Source organism: Homo sapiens, chromosome 2 (assembly GCF_000001405.40).
Source record: "Homo sapiens chromosome 2, GRCh38.p14 Primary Assembly".
Taxonomy (NCBI): Eukaryota; Metazoa; Chordata; class Mammalia; order Primates; family Hominidae; genus Homo; species Homo sapiens.
In genome coordinates, this window is record NC_000002.12 from 190,853,647 (window position 1) to 190,867,710 (window position 14,064).

Sequence of the window (14,064 nt, forward strand, 5' to 3'; positions counted from 1 at the left end):
GAAGAAAGCTGCCTAATCTTTTCTAATACAGAGTGCTGATGTGGAGTTTAAAGTCCACTTCATCTTTACCCAGGTTAAATTTCCTGTAAAACACCTGGAAGAATCCCTCATGCTAAAAGAAAGCAACTTATTCCTGCAGATCATATGGGGCAGAGAAAAAAAATGAAATAAAGCAGTTTATGTACTCATGTTCATAAAAACTGTACTGTGAACCTAAAACACAAAACAAACCATTGTACGGGTGTGTCTTTCATTGAACCTAGAGTCTGACAGCTTTCCAGCAAGGCAATCTAAGATACAGTATTTTTGTGATTCCTTAACTGTCAAAATTTGAGTATTCATTGTGCAAAGCATTGTGGAATTAAGCAGATAAAAGAAAAGATACAGTTTCTGCCTTCATAAGGATAAGGTTACTTTGGTATTGAAATCTTTCTTTTCAGAAAGCTTACAGCAGAGACAAAATGGGTAGAATATGAGCAAATTTGTGTAGCTGCTTTCTCTGTTTTCGTCTGTTTTTGGCACCCAGTAGCCTCTCCTGGTCTCTCAGAGTCCCTCATGACTCACTTCCAAAAGTCCTCCTCCTTTCACTTCCTTCTTTTATTATGCTTATATCAAAATTACTTGCTTAAATCTATTTTCTTAAAGACCTGTTGCCAAAGTGATAGCTAGCTATTCTGGTAAACTAATCCATGCTAAGGTACATTCTACTTTTATCCCTTCAAGTAACATATTACACTTTAACTGTCTTTTTAGAGACAATGTCTTAATGCATAGAAGTCTAATGGTGGGGATTTCTGCATACATGATGGGCCTTTCAGTGTTCCCCAAATACATCATCTGAAGGGCTGCCAACATTATCTCCCTGTCCTGAGGGTGGGGAAGAAAATAAATGGGCTAAATCTTCATTGCTTGGAGGAGTTCCTAATATCATGCTTGCCAAAACCCAGGAGAGGTAGGTAGGTCCGTCCACACCTTTGCAGGGTCCTTTGCTTCAACAAGCCCAGCCCGGTTTTCCACAACTCCTAACAGGGAAAAAAACGTTTCTCAAAAAAGATGTGCAAGTGACATATGGAGCAGGACAATTCTTTGTTTCTCATAATGGTATTATACATGGCAGGACATTTTAGCATCCCTGGTTGCAACCCACTAAATTCCAATAGCATCTCCCTTCCCTCATTGCTGTCTGTCTGGTCACTGTGACAACCAACATGACTCCCGCACATTTCCAAATATGTGGAACAACCCTGGTGAGAACTATTGGACATTCCTTTTAGAGCCAGTTAGAACCTTTTCTCTGCAGGAAGCACCATATGTTCCATCAGCCTCACTTGAAAGAGGTTGAGTGGCCTTGGATCTCCACTGACCAGGTTCAGGAATACAGTGCATGTGTGGAAAAAGGCAGACATAAACTCTCCCCTTTAACATCCATAAACCAATTCTAGCCTACAATCTTACCATGATTCAGAAGTGCAGACTAAAAGAATGGGGCTTTTTTTCTGAAAGTAAAGGCTTTCTTCAGATGGCAGCTGACTGAAAACGTTTGGTGGTTTGACATTGATCTTCCTAATATTGTGACAGCATCCCTTAAAGAAGCTATTCCCTTTGAGGATAGCACGACTTCAGATTTTCATCTAACTAAAGTTAGAGTCACATTATATCGCATGATCAAAGATCATTTTAAAAGAATCACACATAAGGAAAAATTGGAATGGTACCACTACCAGCTATTTATTGAGTGCCTATTATGAGCGAGGCACTGACTAGGAGGTAGGGTTAGAGATTTCCATAAGATAACCTTCTGCCCTCTAGTGAGAGAGATGGCCATGTAAACATTCCATCCAAACATTCATTATTAAGTAGCCTATAATAGAGAAAGTAACAAGGCAGCCACCAGTAGAACTTGAGGAGGAAGGAACAATTACCTGAATTTGGAGATCATGTGAATCCAATGGTGATAGGAACGTGATAGAATTTATATGTTGCCTTCTCTGGATTCCCAGATGCAGACAAATTATACAAGGTGAGCAAAACAATCCCTTCTAGATGTCAAACAATCCTGTCTCCTCTCATGCCATGGTAACACACTAAAATATTTATTTTTTAAAAAAATTTTTCTTGCTTGACACAAATTTTAGTGAGTCCATTTGCATTAATCTCATTAATTTTTCATGAACCTGAGATTAAACGTGTTTAAGATACTGGTGAGAAGAAAAACTACATGTCATTATAACAGAATGTATTGCTAGTTTATAATGAGTAAATCACAGTTTCAGGGGCCATAAAGAGTTTCATCCAGGGAGTAAAGTCCTTTTGTTTTCCTTTAGATAAGATATTTGTGGGGCCGGGCGCGGTGGCTCATGCCTGTAATCCCAGCACTTTGGGAAGCCGAGGCGGGTGGATCACAAGGTCAGGAGATTGAGACCATCCTGGCTAACACTGTGAAACCCCGTCTCTACTAAAAAAATACAAAAAAAAATTAGCCGGGCGTGGTGGCAGGTGCCTGTAATCCCAGCTACTCGGGAGGCTGAGGCAGGAGAATGGCGTGAACCTAAGAGGCAGAGCTTGCAGTGAGCTGAGAGCGTGCCACTGCACTCCAGCCTGGGCAACAGAGCGAGACTCCGTCTCAAAAAAACAAAAAAAAGATATTTGTGTAGAAGAATGAATGTCAACAGTGCTAGTCTATTAAATAATGCTCAAAGAACATGATTAACAGGAAAATAATATGGAGAAAACTTTTAAAGCAATGTATTTAAAAAGTAAAATGTACAGTATCTGTGGAAGCTTTGAGTAAATAAAGGTAAGGTCATGGCTTTTGAGAGTATCAGTATGTTTTAGCAATATCAAAGGTTTATTCCCAAAGTAAGAATTAAGATCAGCTTTCATTTTAAATATTGAATATTTGGTACATAATGATGCTGACTAGGTATGCTGTAGGTGGTTAAATTTTTAGTTATGTTGGTAAGAAAGTCAATTATATTTCTTCCCAATGACCTATGAGTTGGTCAGATGTCAATTCAGGAAAATAAACTTACTCTACTGGGAGTTCCAGGAATGCAGGAGCCATATAGAAATGGCTCTCTCTAGCCCCCATTTCTGAGCACAATGTGTAGCATGTAGGAGGTCCTTGAAAGGGTAGGTAAGTTGGAAAGTATTCACTCCTTTCTGCTAATGCAACAGCCACAGTCCTTAGTGATTCTCTCCATGAACCATGTTTGACATAACACACTGTGGTCATTAACAATAACAACTCTCATCATTATGCATTTATTGTATGTAAGGCACATTATGGCCATTATTTCATTTACGTATTAAACCAACTTCATAAATATTATTATTTGTAGCTTCACAAGTATTAGTATCAACATTTTCAGATGAAGAAACTGAGCCTTAGAGGGGTGAGCAATTTGCTCCAGATGAGGCGGTACTGAAATGAAAATCCAGGTCTCTAAGAACTGGGTCTATTTGTTGAATGCCTATTGTGAGTGAGACACTGTGCTAGGAGGTAGGGTTAGAGACTTCCATAAGATAAGCTTCTGCCCTCTAGTGAGGGAGAGGGCTGTGTATACACTATTCCAATCACTATTAAATGGTAAATGGGCTATAATAGAGGAAGTACCAAGGCAGGAACTGGTAGAACTTAAGGAAGCAGGAACAGTTATCTGAATTTGGAGATCTTGTTAATCCTATGATGATAGGAGAATGATAGAATTTATATATTGGTGTTTTTGGATTCCCAGAGGCAGGCAAGTTATAAAAGGTGAGCAAAACCATCCCATCTGGATGTCAAACAATTGTGTCCCCAGGTCCTAGTTATTTTTGGGCAACTCCACACTGCTCATGACTGTTCAGGGGGCCAGCAAGGGTATATTGAGCAGTGTTGCTGAGCCTACACATTTTTTACCTTGACTGTCCCAAATACAATTCCTGTATGATAAGTGTACTTCACACAGCACTCCCACTGACTGGGAAAGCTTCTCCCTGTTATTTCTGAGAGTGACAGAAGGGGCGTCTCACATGTAGAGGCCAATCAAGTCTCTCCTCTCTTACTTGGATTCCCTCTTGCCAATGTCTAATGCAATTAAAATGGAAGCTCCCTCAAAGAACCTACTGCCACCACTGTTAAAAATAAGTCTGGCAAGCAGTTCATCCATTCATGCCAAGAATGTCCACCCCTAATTCTGCCTAAGTTGCCTTCACCTCGCTGAGTTTCTGGAGATGGGTAGAAAGCCCCCCTCTGCAGCCACCTTGGCTCCACTCCAAGACCCCATTGCTACCACTTAGTGTTCTCACAAGATTTTCCTTTCCTCTTTGTCATCTATAAGCAAAAACTTGTCCCAACAGTAATAAGAAACAACAGTTCTCTGTGTGTTCTACCTCCTGTTTATATACATCTAAGAAAAAATGTTTTCTTTGTTTACTATTAAAATACAAGCAAGCACTCACACACACACACTCACACACACACAGGGAACTTGGAGATAGATGGTCTGGCCCAAAACTACACAGATATTCATTTCCATTGCTAAACCACAAAAATACCCCATTTATATTAATGGTACTTGCCTTATATTTGTGTAAATAACAGAAACTATTCTGGTAGGTTTTTTGTTTTTTTGGTTTTTTTTTCCTAAAATGAAGTAACAATTTACATTAAAGATGAATAAACTAGGCATAGGGGCTCATGCTTGTAATCCCAACACTTTGGGAGGCCGAGGCGAGCAAATCACTTGAGGTCAGGAGTTTGAGACCAGCCTGGCCAACATGGTGAAATCCCATCTCTACTAAAAAAATAAAAATAAAAATTAGCTGAGCACTGTGGCAGGCGCCTGTGACCCTAGCTACTCAGGAGGCTGAGGCGCGAGAATCACTTGAACCCCGGAGGCAGAGGTTGCAGTGAGCCAAGATGGTGCCAGTGCACTCCAGGCTGGGGGACAGAGTGAGACTCTGTCTCAAACAAACAAACAAACAAACAATAAATAAATAAAGATAAATAAATATTCACTTGAAGAGACCAAAAACAGAAAAAAAATTCACAAGTTTTAAAGTTCAACCTCAGGCAAGATACCCTATTACATATAGGTGAAGAAATCTAGTCAGAATATTAAGCTTGTTTGGTAATTAAAATCACATAGGTCATAGCAGAGCCAGGGTTAGAAATCTAGATTTTCTGATTCCCAGTGTAAAGCTCTTTCTTCGGGGGAAAGACGGGGAAGGAGGTCGAGAGAGGTGTACTGTAGTTGGATACTTTTTCCTCTGTAGGAGAAAGAAGAATGGATTTCTCTGTCCTGCCTTTGGTTAGTTTTTGGTCATTTTCTAGGTATGTGTCATTTCTGGCTCTTGCATTTTCAACACAGTCGACTCTTGTACACTGAGCTCAGTGTCTCCGTGGTTTTCTGGAATGCTTAACGTGAGCCTCTTTTAAAAGGAGAGTTACACAGGCTGCCTAAACATTGCACAGACCTCCTGATTCTAAAAATATGCTGTCTGTTTGGTTAAAATGGTTAAATTATTATTAAGTCTCATTTCATTGTAGCTTGAATTGTACCTGAATTCTTTTCATTGTTTTCCTTTTCAACTTCCTATGTTCTGGTCCATCTTTCCACCGTCAGTTTTTTATCTTTTAACAAATTATTATATGCTCCTTATAGTCTAGAATTATTTATTTAGGCTTCCACATAAATCAGTTTCTCCAGATTTTCATTAATGTTCAAACTTTTTCCCTTAGTGTAGTTGCCTAGATATACTGCCTGAGGGCCTGGATCATGATTTCACCAGTATTAAGTGCAATATTAATATTCAGCTCATCTCCCTCTCCCTGATCCAGGAAGGCACTTCTTTTCCTCATCTTCATCAGGAAGCAGAGAGTTATGCATCTGCCAGCTTCAGTAATGCTGTTGGCTGCTCTGGGTATGGTGTGGCCAAAAAAAATGTTGGGGGTAGGTTTGTAGCAGCTGTTTTACCACATTCCTGTAAAAATACCGGCAAGCGTAGACTGCTCCTCTCAAGGCACGAATGGCCTTCTCCTGCTCTGTTAAATATGGGGAGGAAGTCTGTCCACGTACAGCTGTGGCTGATCCCTGTTAGAATACAGGGTCGCAGACTTTAGTATATGCAAGCACTACCTGGAGGTGCAGAGTCTTGGACTGCACCCCTAGGCTCTAGGATTCTGTCTATCTAGGGTAGATCCCAGGGACCCTTTGGCAGCATGCCGGGTGATTCTGATGCAGGTCATCTGCAGAACATTCTTTAAGAAATACTGATTAAGTCTTTGGAATTAGGCTCATTATTCTTTAAACAATATTTTTTAAAGAGAAATAAAAAAAAAACTGTGGCTGGATGGCCAGTTTTGAGGAATGTTATAGAGGAAATTAATAAACAGATTGAGGAAATGGACTGGATTTCTAAAGTCCATTCCTTTCCACCTCTGCAACTCTATGATTCAGCACTTTTTAAAGATTAAATATAGTATATCTGAATCCATGGAATTTAGGAGAGATTTCTTGGCATCTTTCTATCTCTACTGAAGATCCTCCAAGATGAAAGATTATGCTAAAATGTAGAAAATGTGAGTATAGCAGCTTTGGTACCTTCCTGGAGCTATTCTTTGCTCACTAAACCTACACTCTAGTGTATGGTCCCTCCTCATTGTCACCTTCTGGGAGTAGTTTGCTTGGTTTTACAAGATTAGGACTGAAGTGGGTAGTTTCTGAAAATAGGAGAAGAGAAGGAATGTGCCCTGAGGATTGAGGTGAGCCTTAAAAATGGAAGGGGAAGATTTGGAACATCAGAACAGGGCAGGGCTCACTATGGGTGGAGATGGCAGATTTTATGTGAACAAGACATTTCTGTATGAAACTATTGTGCAGAGGTTAAGGGACAGGAGCAGTGACGAAGCCTCAAATTCTGTAAAGAAAAAAACTTAAGATGCCTGGAAGATGCTTCCTTAAATTCACAATATCATATATAAAGGATTTCCATAAAAATTTCCAGAAAGCTGTTTTTAATGTGGACAGGAAAAATTGCCATAGAAAGTTGGAGGGGGGAATGCAAATGAACTAGGGAATATAAAAATAGGTCCTTGGCACCACGACTGTCTTATTCTGTTTATCTTATTCAAGAGGCAACACACACAATAGAATTCTAGAGAAAAAGACCTGATTATGTGGCAGCTTCAACTAAGGGAAGGATAGAAATTCTGAATAAACCTAAAGGACAACAGCCCCCTAACAAAGCAGATGCCACTTCGTTCTCCTACTTCAGAGGGATGGCCACAGACCCCCCCCCCCCGCCCCTCAGAGGCAGCTTCCATTTGACTGTCAAGTAGCAAATAAATGTTTAAACACACATGGAAATTTCTCCGAGAACTTCCCTGTGAGTTATCTTTCACATGCAAATAGAAGTTGTGAATTTCTGAACAGGGATATTCTAAAGGAGGATGAGAAGCCCGGCTAGGGAGAGGACCCTTTAAGAAAAATCAAAGCCAAGTAGAAAGGGAGAGTCAAAGTAGACAAAAAAATTCAAGAGAAACCCTCAATCCAGATGGTCTACCGAAGCGGAGAATGCAGAAGGGGTGGAACCTAGCACAGTGCCTGGTACTTAGGAACATTCTATAAATATTTGTGGAAGAAAGACTGGGATTCCTAGTAAAAGCTTCCTAAATTGTTGAAAGGTGATTAAAAAGCTAGCCCTGTTACAACTAAAAGACAAATGGGACCAAACTGAGGATCCAAACAGAAAAGGATCTTTTATCAGAGATCAATGCAGAAACATGATTCAGGACAGGAAAGTAAAGCAGGCAGCTTAGGCCACTGGTAAATGATCCAGAGGAATGTAAGACAGACTAGAAGTGTGGTACAAAGATATGCCTGGCAGGAACTTCCCTGCTGAGAGCCCAGGAGAAAGAATGCCTTGAGGCTGTACTTGCATTTTATTTCTTCTGTTCATAGTCCTGCCACTCGCTTTTCCCTTTCTCAAACCCCTCTTTCTATGTAAAATTTAGTTCTGCTTCAGATTGATTTGTGTATGTTGAAATGCAGTGGTCAGGGTAGTAGAAAGGAAGTGAGTTAAAGAAGTAGGAAAAGGATGCTGGGCACGGTGGCTCACACCTGTAATCCCAGCACTTTGGGAGGCTGAGGCCGGCAAATCACAAGGTCAGGAGTTTGAGACCAGCCTGGCCAACATGGAGAAACCCCGTCTCTACTAAAAATACAAAAAATTACCGGGCGTAGTGGTGGGCGCCTGTAATCTCAGCTACTTGGGAGGCTGGGGCAGGAGAATAGCTTGAACCTGGGATGCGGAGGTTGCAGTGAGCCAAGATCACTCCAGTGCACTCCAGCCTGGGCAACAGAGCGAGACTCTGTCTAAAAGAAATAAAAATTAAAAAAAGACGTAGGAAAAGGCCAGGATACAAAGGCACAGTCTTTGATGGAGGCATTTTCTTTCTCTTTGACTCCTAAATGTTGGCTTAAGACAGACTCAAAATTTGTCATCAGATTTAGCTGGTGTAACATGCTCTAGTTTTTCATGGGTGCAGGGGCAGATCTTTCACTATATATATATTCAGGTAAACTTTATTGGTTAGTGATACAGTTTGGCTGTGTCACCAACCCAAATCTCATTTTGAATTGTAGTTCCCATAATCCCCATGTGTCATGGGAGAGACCCAGTGGGATGTAATTTAGTCATAGGAGTGGTTACCCTCATGCTGTTCTCATGACAGTGAGTGAGTTCTCACAAGATCTAATGGTTTTATAAGAGGCTTTTCCCACTTTTGCTTGGCACTTCTCCTTGCTGCTGCCATGTGAAGAAGGACATGTTTGCTTTCCCTTCCATCATGATTGTAAGTTTCAATCTGAGGCCTCACCAGTCATGCTGAACAGTGAGTCAATTAAATCTCTTTCCTTTATAAATTACCCAGTCTCAGGTATGTCTTTATTAGCAGTGTGAGAACAGACTAATACAATTAGTAAACCTTGAGCTCTGAACCTGGGAGGCAGATGTTGCAGTGAGCCAAGATTGCGCCACTGCACTGACCCAGTCTCAAAAAAAAGAAAAAAAAATCTAGTAAACCTTGAGTTCCAACAACAAGCATTTCCTGCCTCCCTTTATGTTAGACCACAGCATTAAGAGAAGCAGCCACACTATCCTTGCCCTTCTCTACCTTAATAGACACACAGGATTATTCAAGCTCAGACTTGATGAGTCAGTAAGATTTCACCAGTAGCAAAGAGAAAAGATAAGGGCTTTTTTGAGCAGAACGAATGGCATGTGCAAGAACAGTGACAGTTTCCAAATGACAATTTAGGAGGGCCTTAGAGGTAGCAATTTGACTCAGTGGTGGGCTAGAAGCTGTTTGTGCATAGCATTCTATATAAGATTCATAATATATCAATTTTGCATATCAAATAAAGGATGGACTTCATGCATATCATAAGGAATAAAGACACCCAAATCTCCCCTTGTGCTGCTACCATGCAGGGGCCATGATATAGTTCTGGCATATTTAAAGATCCAAAAGAAGGTAATTTTAGCTGGAGCATAGAATGTTAGTGGTAGACTGGCTGAAGATGTACCTAAAATTTAGGCAGAGCCAGAGAGGTATTGTAGGAATATTACAAATTTTTAATTTTATCCTAAATGTAATGGGAAGCCATTATGGGTTTTAAGCTGGAGAGTAGCATGATCCGATTTATGTGTAAGAAGATCACTATAGCTCCTGGATAGAAATGGATTGCAAGGGACAAGGAGCTAACATCTGTTGAGTTTCTGTGTGTGCCTATCCCTGAACAATATGCATGCATTACTTCATTTAATTCTCACAATAGTTGTGAGAAGTGTGAACCATTATCTTCACTTTATAAGTGAGGAAACGAAGACCTTTGAGGCTATATAAATTGTCCAGAGGAACATAAGGAGGAGCAAGAAAATGAGTACAATTCCTTCTATTAATGTGAAATTAATGCATGGGGCATACCATACACCCAGTAAAATCTCAGTGATGGTTTTGTTGTAAAATTCTGTAGGTAGATGATTGTCATATCCAGAATGCAGTGATCAGGGAAGGGTTAATACATGATTTTGCAACAAGGAAGTTCATGATCCTGGCTGCTCATCTGAGAGATACTGGATATAGCCATTTATGATTGAAGCTATTATGGGATTTCACTCTTAAAAATCCCTCTTATCATTGTTAAATGTGCAAAAGACCTCTTTTCACTGTTTTCATCTTTTTGTCAGGTTGTTTTCCAGGAAGTGGTTGCTAGGAGTGAAAGAGTTTTATTATTTAGAGATAAGTGGAGCCTAGATATTCCATCTACTTAAAAAGAACATAAAAAGAGAACCTTATAGTAATTGAGTTGAAAATTATGTTTGCGACACTGTTTGTACAGTCCACCTGCTTTCTGTTTACTTGTGGTTATCTCCTTTCTCTAATGACTCTGAAAGCACATACTCAGGTTTGCACCAAAACACTATCCTGGAGGCTGTTGGAGGAGTCTGACTGCCAGGGCTCTTCAGGGCCAACAGCTGACTCTAATGACAGTGAGCACGTGCACTCGCAGTGGCTGAAGAGTCTCTTGCCATAAGCATGAGTGCTAGCTGGCTGCACAGTGTATGAATTACTCTTGGATACAGTTGTCTTTATATTCTGATAATGCCTACCACTGAGGGAAAACCTACTGAGATTAAAGTTTTGCCAACCAGACTACAGAGACACTGTTCCACAACCTGGGACAAGTTCCTGCCCAGGACCTCAGGTTATCAAGATAGTGTTGGGCCCCTGGTCTGTGTATCCCCCTGCCCTTTCTCACATATCCCTTAACATTATCTATGATTATTAATCTAAAAATGTGTACTCTTTATTGCTCTTGCAAAACTGCCATGTGCTAAGCTGTTTATAGCTTTTGTCTAGTCACTGCATTTAAAACATTCTTTAACCTTGTTTGGTATTTCCAGTATTCCAAATTCACTTAGAATTCCCATGGTATCTGTTGGAAAAAAATAGACATGAGATTTCATCAGTAAGTGTTTAATAACCTCCAAATAAAAGCCACAACTGTAGCCAGTGCTTGGAATCACAGTTGAGACCCAGGAGGCACCTTTGAGGTCACTCAGGCCAAACTTCCACTTAAAAATGTGGAAAGGGAGACATTGACAAGTCAGGGGATTTGCCCACGTCAACCAGTTCTAGGTGATAGCCAGGCCAGAGCTAGAACTCCAGTCTCCTAACTCTCTATTCAGAAAAGTTTTAAAGAACTACATATAGTATTAAACTTTTAAATAAATAAACATAAGTTTACTCTTTTGAATTGGACTTAAAAGTTATGGCTGGGCGCGGTGGCTCACGCCTGTAATCCCAGCACTTTGGGAGGCTGAGGCGGGTGGATCATCTGAGGTTGGGAGTTTGAGACCAGCCTGAATTAGCTGGGCATGGTGGCACATGCCTGTAATCCCAGCTACTCGGGAGGCTGAGGCAGGAGGATTGCTTGAACCCAGGAGGTGGAGGTTGTGGTGAGCCGAGATCGCACCATTGTACTCCAGACTGGGCAACAAGACTGAAACTCCGTCTCAAAAAAAAAAAGATATGCATCCCAGTCTGTTCATGGGCCTTTGGCCTTACATGCTTATAATTTATTACTACCCTCATGTCTAGGCTTTCCCTGCCTCATTTCCTCCTCTGCCTACATGAACTTACCTATACTGTCTATACTATTCTCTTAGGTCCTTCTCTCAGGAGAATATTAACACAGCTCAGGTGCTAATCAACAAAAATGTCTCCTGTTTTTGCCTAGTACCAGATATCAACTCCTCCCTGTTTCAGTCACTTTCTGGGATTAAGACTTTTTATTCTTGAAAACCCTGTTAAAATGCAATCAGTATTACCTGTGAGGTAAAATTTAGGAAGGCACTACTGTCTGCTGCAATTCAAATCTAAATTTGCCTGACTCCGAATTGTATTCTCCTTTGTATCATGCCTCTTGCATGAGAAATGTCATAGTATCTGGTGCTCAATACTAAGTCTAGCCAATATCTACTGAGGCTGCAGATGCCTCTGGATACTTTTTTTCCCATCTGGAACACATGGGTCAGTGACTATGCCACCATCAGATTAAAGAAAGGATGGGTTGTGAAGATGTCTTCTTTTTCTTGACTCAAATTACATTTCTTAACTTTGGAGTTAGTTGTGGAAATAAAAACAGCTAGTCAGAAATGACATTCAATAGAAAAAGCATAGAATATGTTTACTTGAGTTCACTGATTGGGAAAGAGAAGGTACATCCAAATGAGAATGGTAAGTGGGTGATGGTAAAGGCATAAGCCAGAGTCAAGAAATATGTGATACTTTTAAGGCAAGTAACTGAAATATTGAGCAGATTAATGCTTCTGTCAATTTCCTCACCTAAAAATGAGATTGCACCTACCTGCCCATCTCAAGTGACTGTTATGAAGATGATATGAAATGGGAGAGCATCATGAAGACATAAGATAGAGATCTTAAATGATCTGTGGAATTTTGAAGGGTGGAGAAGAGGTTTAGGTCACACAAGTGATTAAAATGGCATAAGCAAAGAGGAAAGTTGGAAAGGAGGAATGTTGGTTAGGTAAAGGAAAATTGATCATTCTGGCAAAAATGAAGGAAAGCAAATTAAGGTTCAAACACTAATATATTAGGCACAAGCATAGAGGTCTGCTTTATAGCAGAAGGGCAAAGCTTGTTGTCTCAGGATGGATGGATCTGTCTATTATCTCTATCTATCTATCTATCTGTCTGTCTGTCTGTCTATATTTTGTGAGACAGGGTCTCACTCTGTTGCCCACACTGGAGTGCAATGATACAATCACAGATCACTGCAGTCTCAAACTCCTGAGCTCAAGCTATTCTCCTGCCTCACCCTCCTAAAGTTCTGGGATTAGAGGTGTGAGCCACTGTGCCAAACCAATATTTTTTGTTAGGAGAGAAAGGAAGCAATCTGGAGTTATAGAAATCATTCAGAGTCCAAACTGAAGGTTAGAGGTAAGCTTCTTTTTTTTTTTTTTTTTTTTTTTTTTTTTAGACGGAGTTTCACTCTGTCGCCCAGGCTGGAATGCAGTGGCACGATGTTGGCTCACTGCAACTCCACCCTCAGGATTCAGATGATTCTCCTTCCTCAGCCTCCTGAGTAGCTGGGACTACAGGTGCCTGCCACCGCGCCCAGCTAATTTTTTGTATTTTTAGTAGAGATGGGGTTTCACCATCTTGGCCAAGCTGGTCTTGAATTGCTGACCTCGTGATCCACCCGCCTCGGCCTCCCAAAGTGCTGGGATTACAGGAGTGAGCCACCGCACCCGGCCTAGAGGTAAGCTTCTTAGTGCTTACTATCTCCAACTCTAAGTCCAACTCCATCCTTTTATTTTTAAATGATGCAAAGCTATCATACACGGCCCTTCCAACAATTGGGAAGTCATATAATGTATAAATAGGTTAAAACATAGCTATCCAATTTAGTGATGTTAAAACAATGAGAGAAAAAGGATACAATAAATTGTACTTGGGGCAAATAAAAAGATACAGACACAGAAAGAAACTTCTATAGTGTGGCTTTGAATCAGTTAAGACGTCTTAATGGAAACAAGAACTTGAAATGATTTAAATGATAAAGAAATGTTTAATGTGTAACAAGGAGCACCAGAATAGAGCAGGCATCAGAACTGATTGAGTCAGTAGTTCAAGAATGTCATGGAGTTTCCAGGGTTTATTTTTTTCTCTCTCCACTCTGTTGGCCTTGGTGTGTTATGTTTGCCTTAAGGCTGGCTCCCCTCCTAGCAGCAAGAGGGTTGAAGCAGTTTCAAGGAGAATGAACTTTTCATGGCTGGCTAGGACTAGTTATCTGGAGTAGAATCAGCTCTGGGGAATAAATCTCAAATAACATTATATTACTTTCATCATCTGATCGTTTAGGGGAAAGTAGGAAATGTAATTGTTCTTGCAGATGCTTTGATTGGTATAGTATTTTTTAAAAATTGAATGAGATGCTTACATTGAAAGTTCATAAGATTTATTTTTAAAAATCATATTTCTGGGTCATC

The 14,064-nt window shown here is 40.4% G+C and overlaps 1 annotated feature.

Moving 5' to 3' along the window:
- Nucleotides 415-584: a silencer, noted in NCBI's record as "silent region_12185". NCBI's record gives its function as "represses an Ori minimal core promoter by ATAC-STARR-seq in GM12878 lymphoblastoid cells {active_cell/tissue: GM12878}" and the evidence as "EXISTENCE:reporter gene assay evidence [ECO:0000049][PMID:35858748]".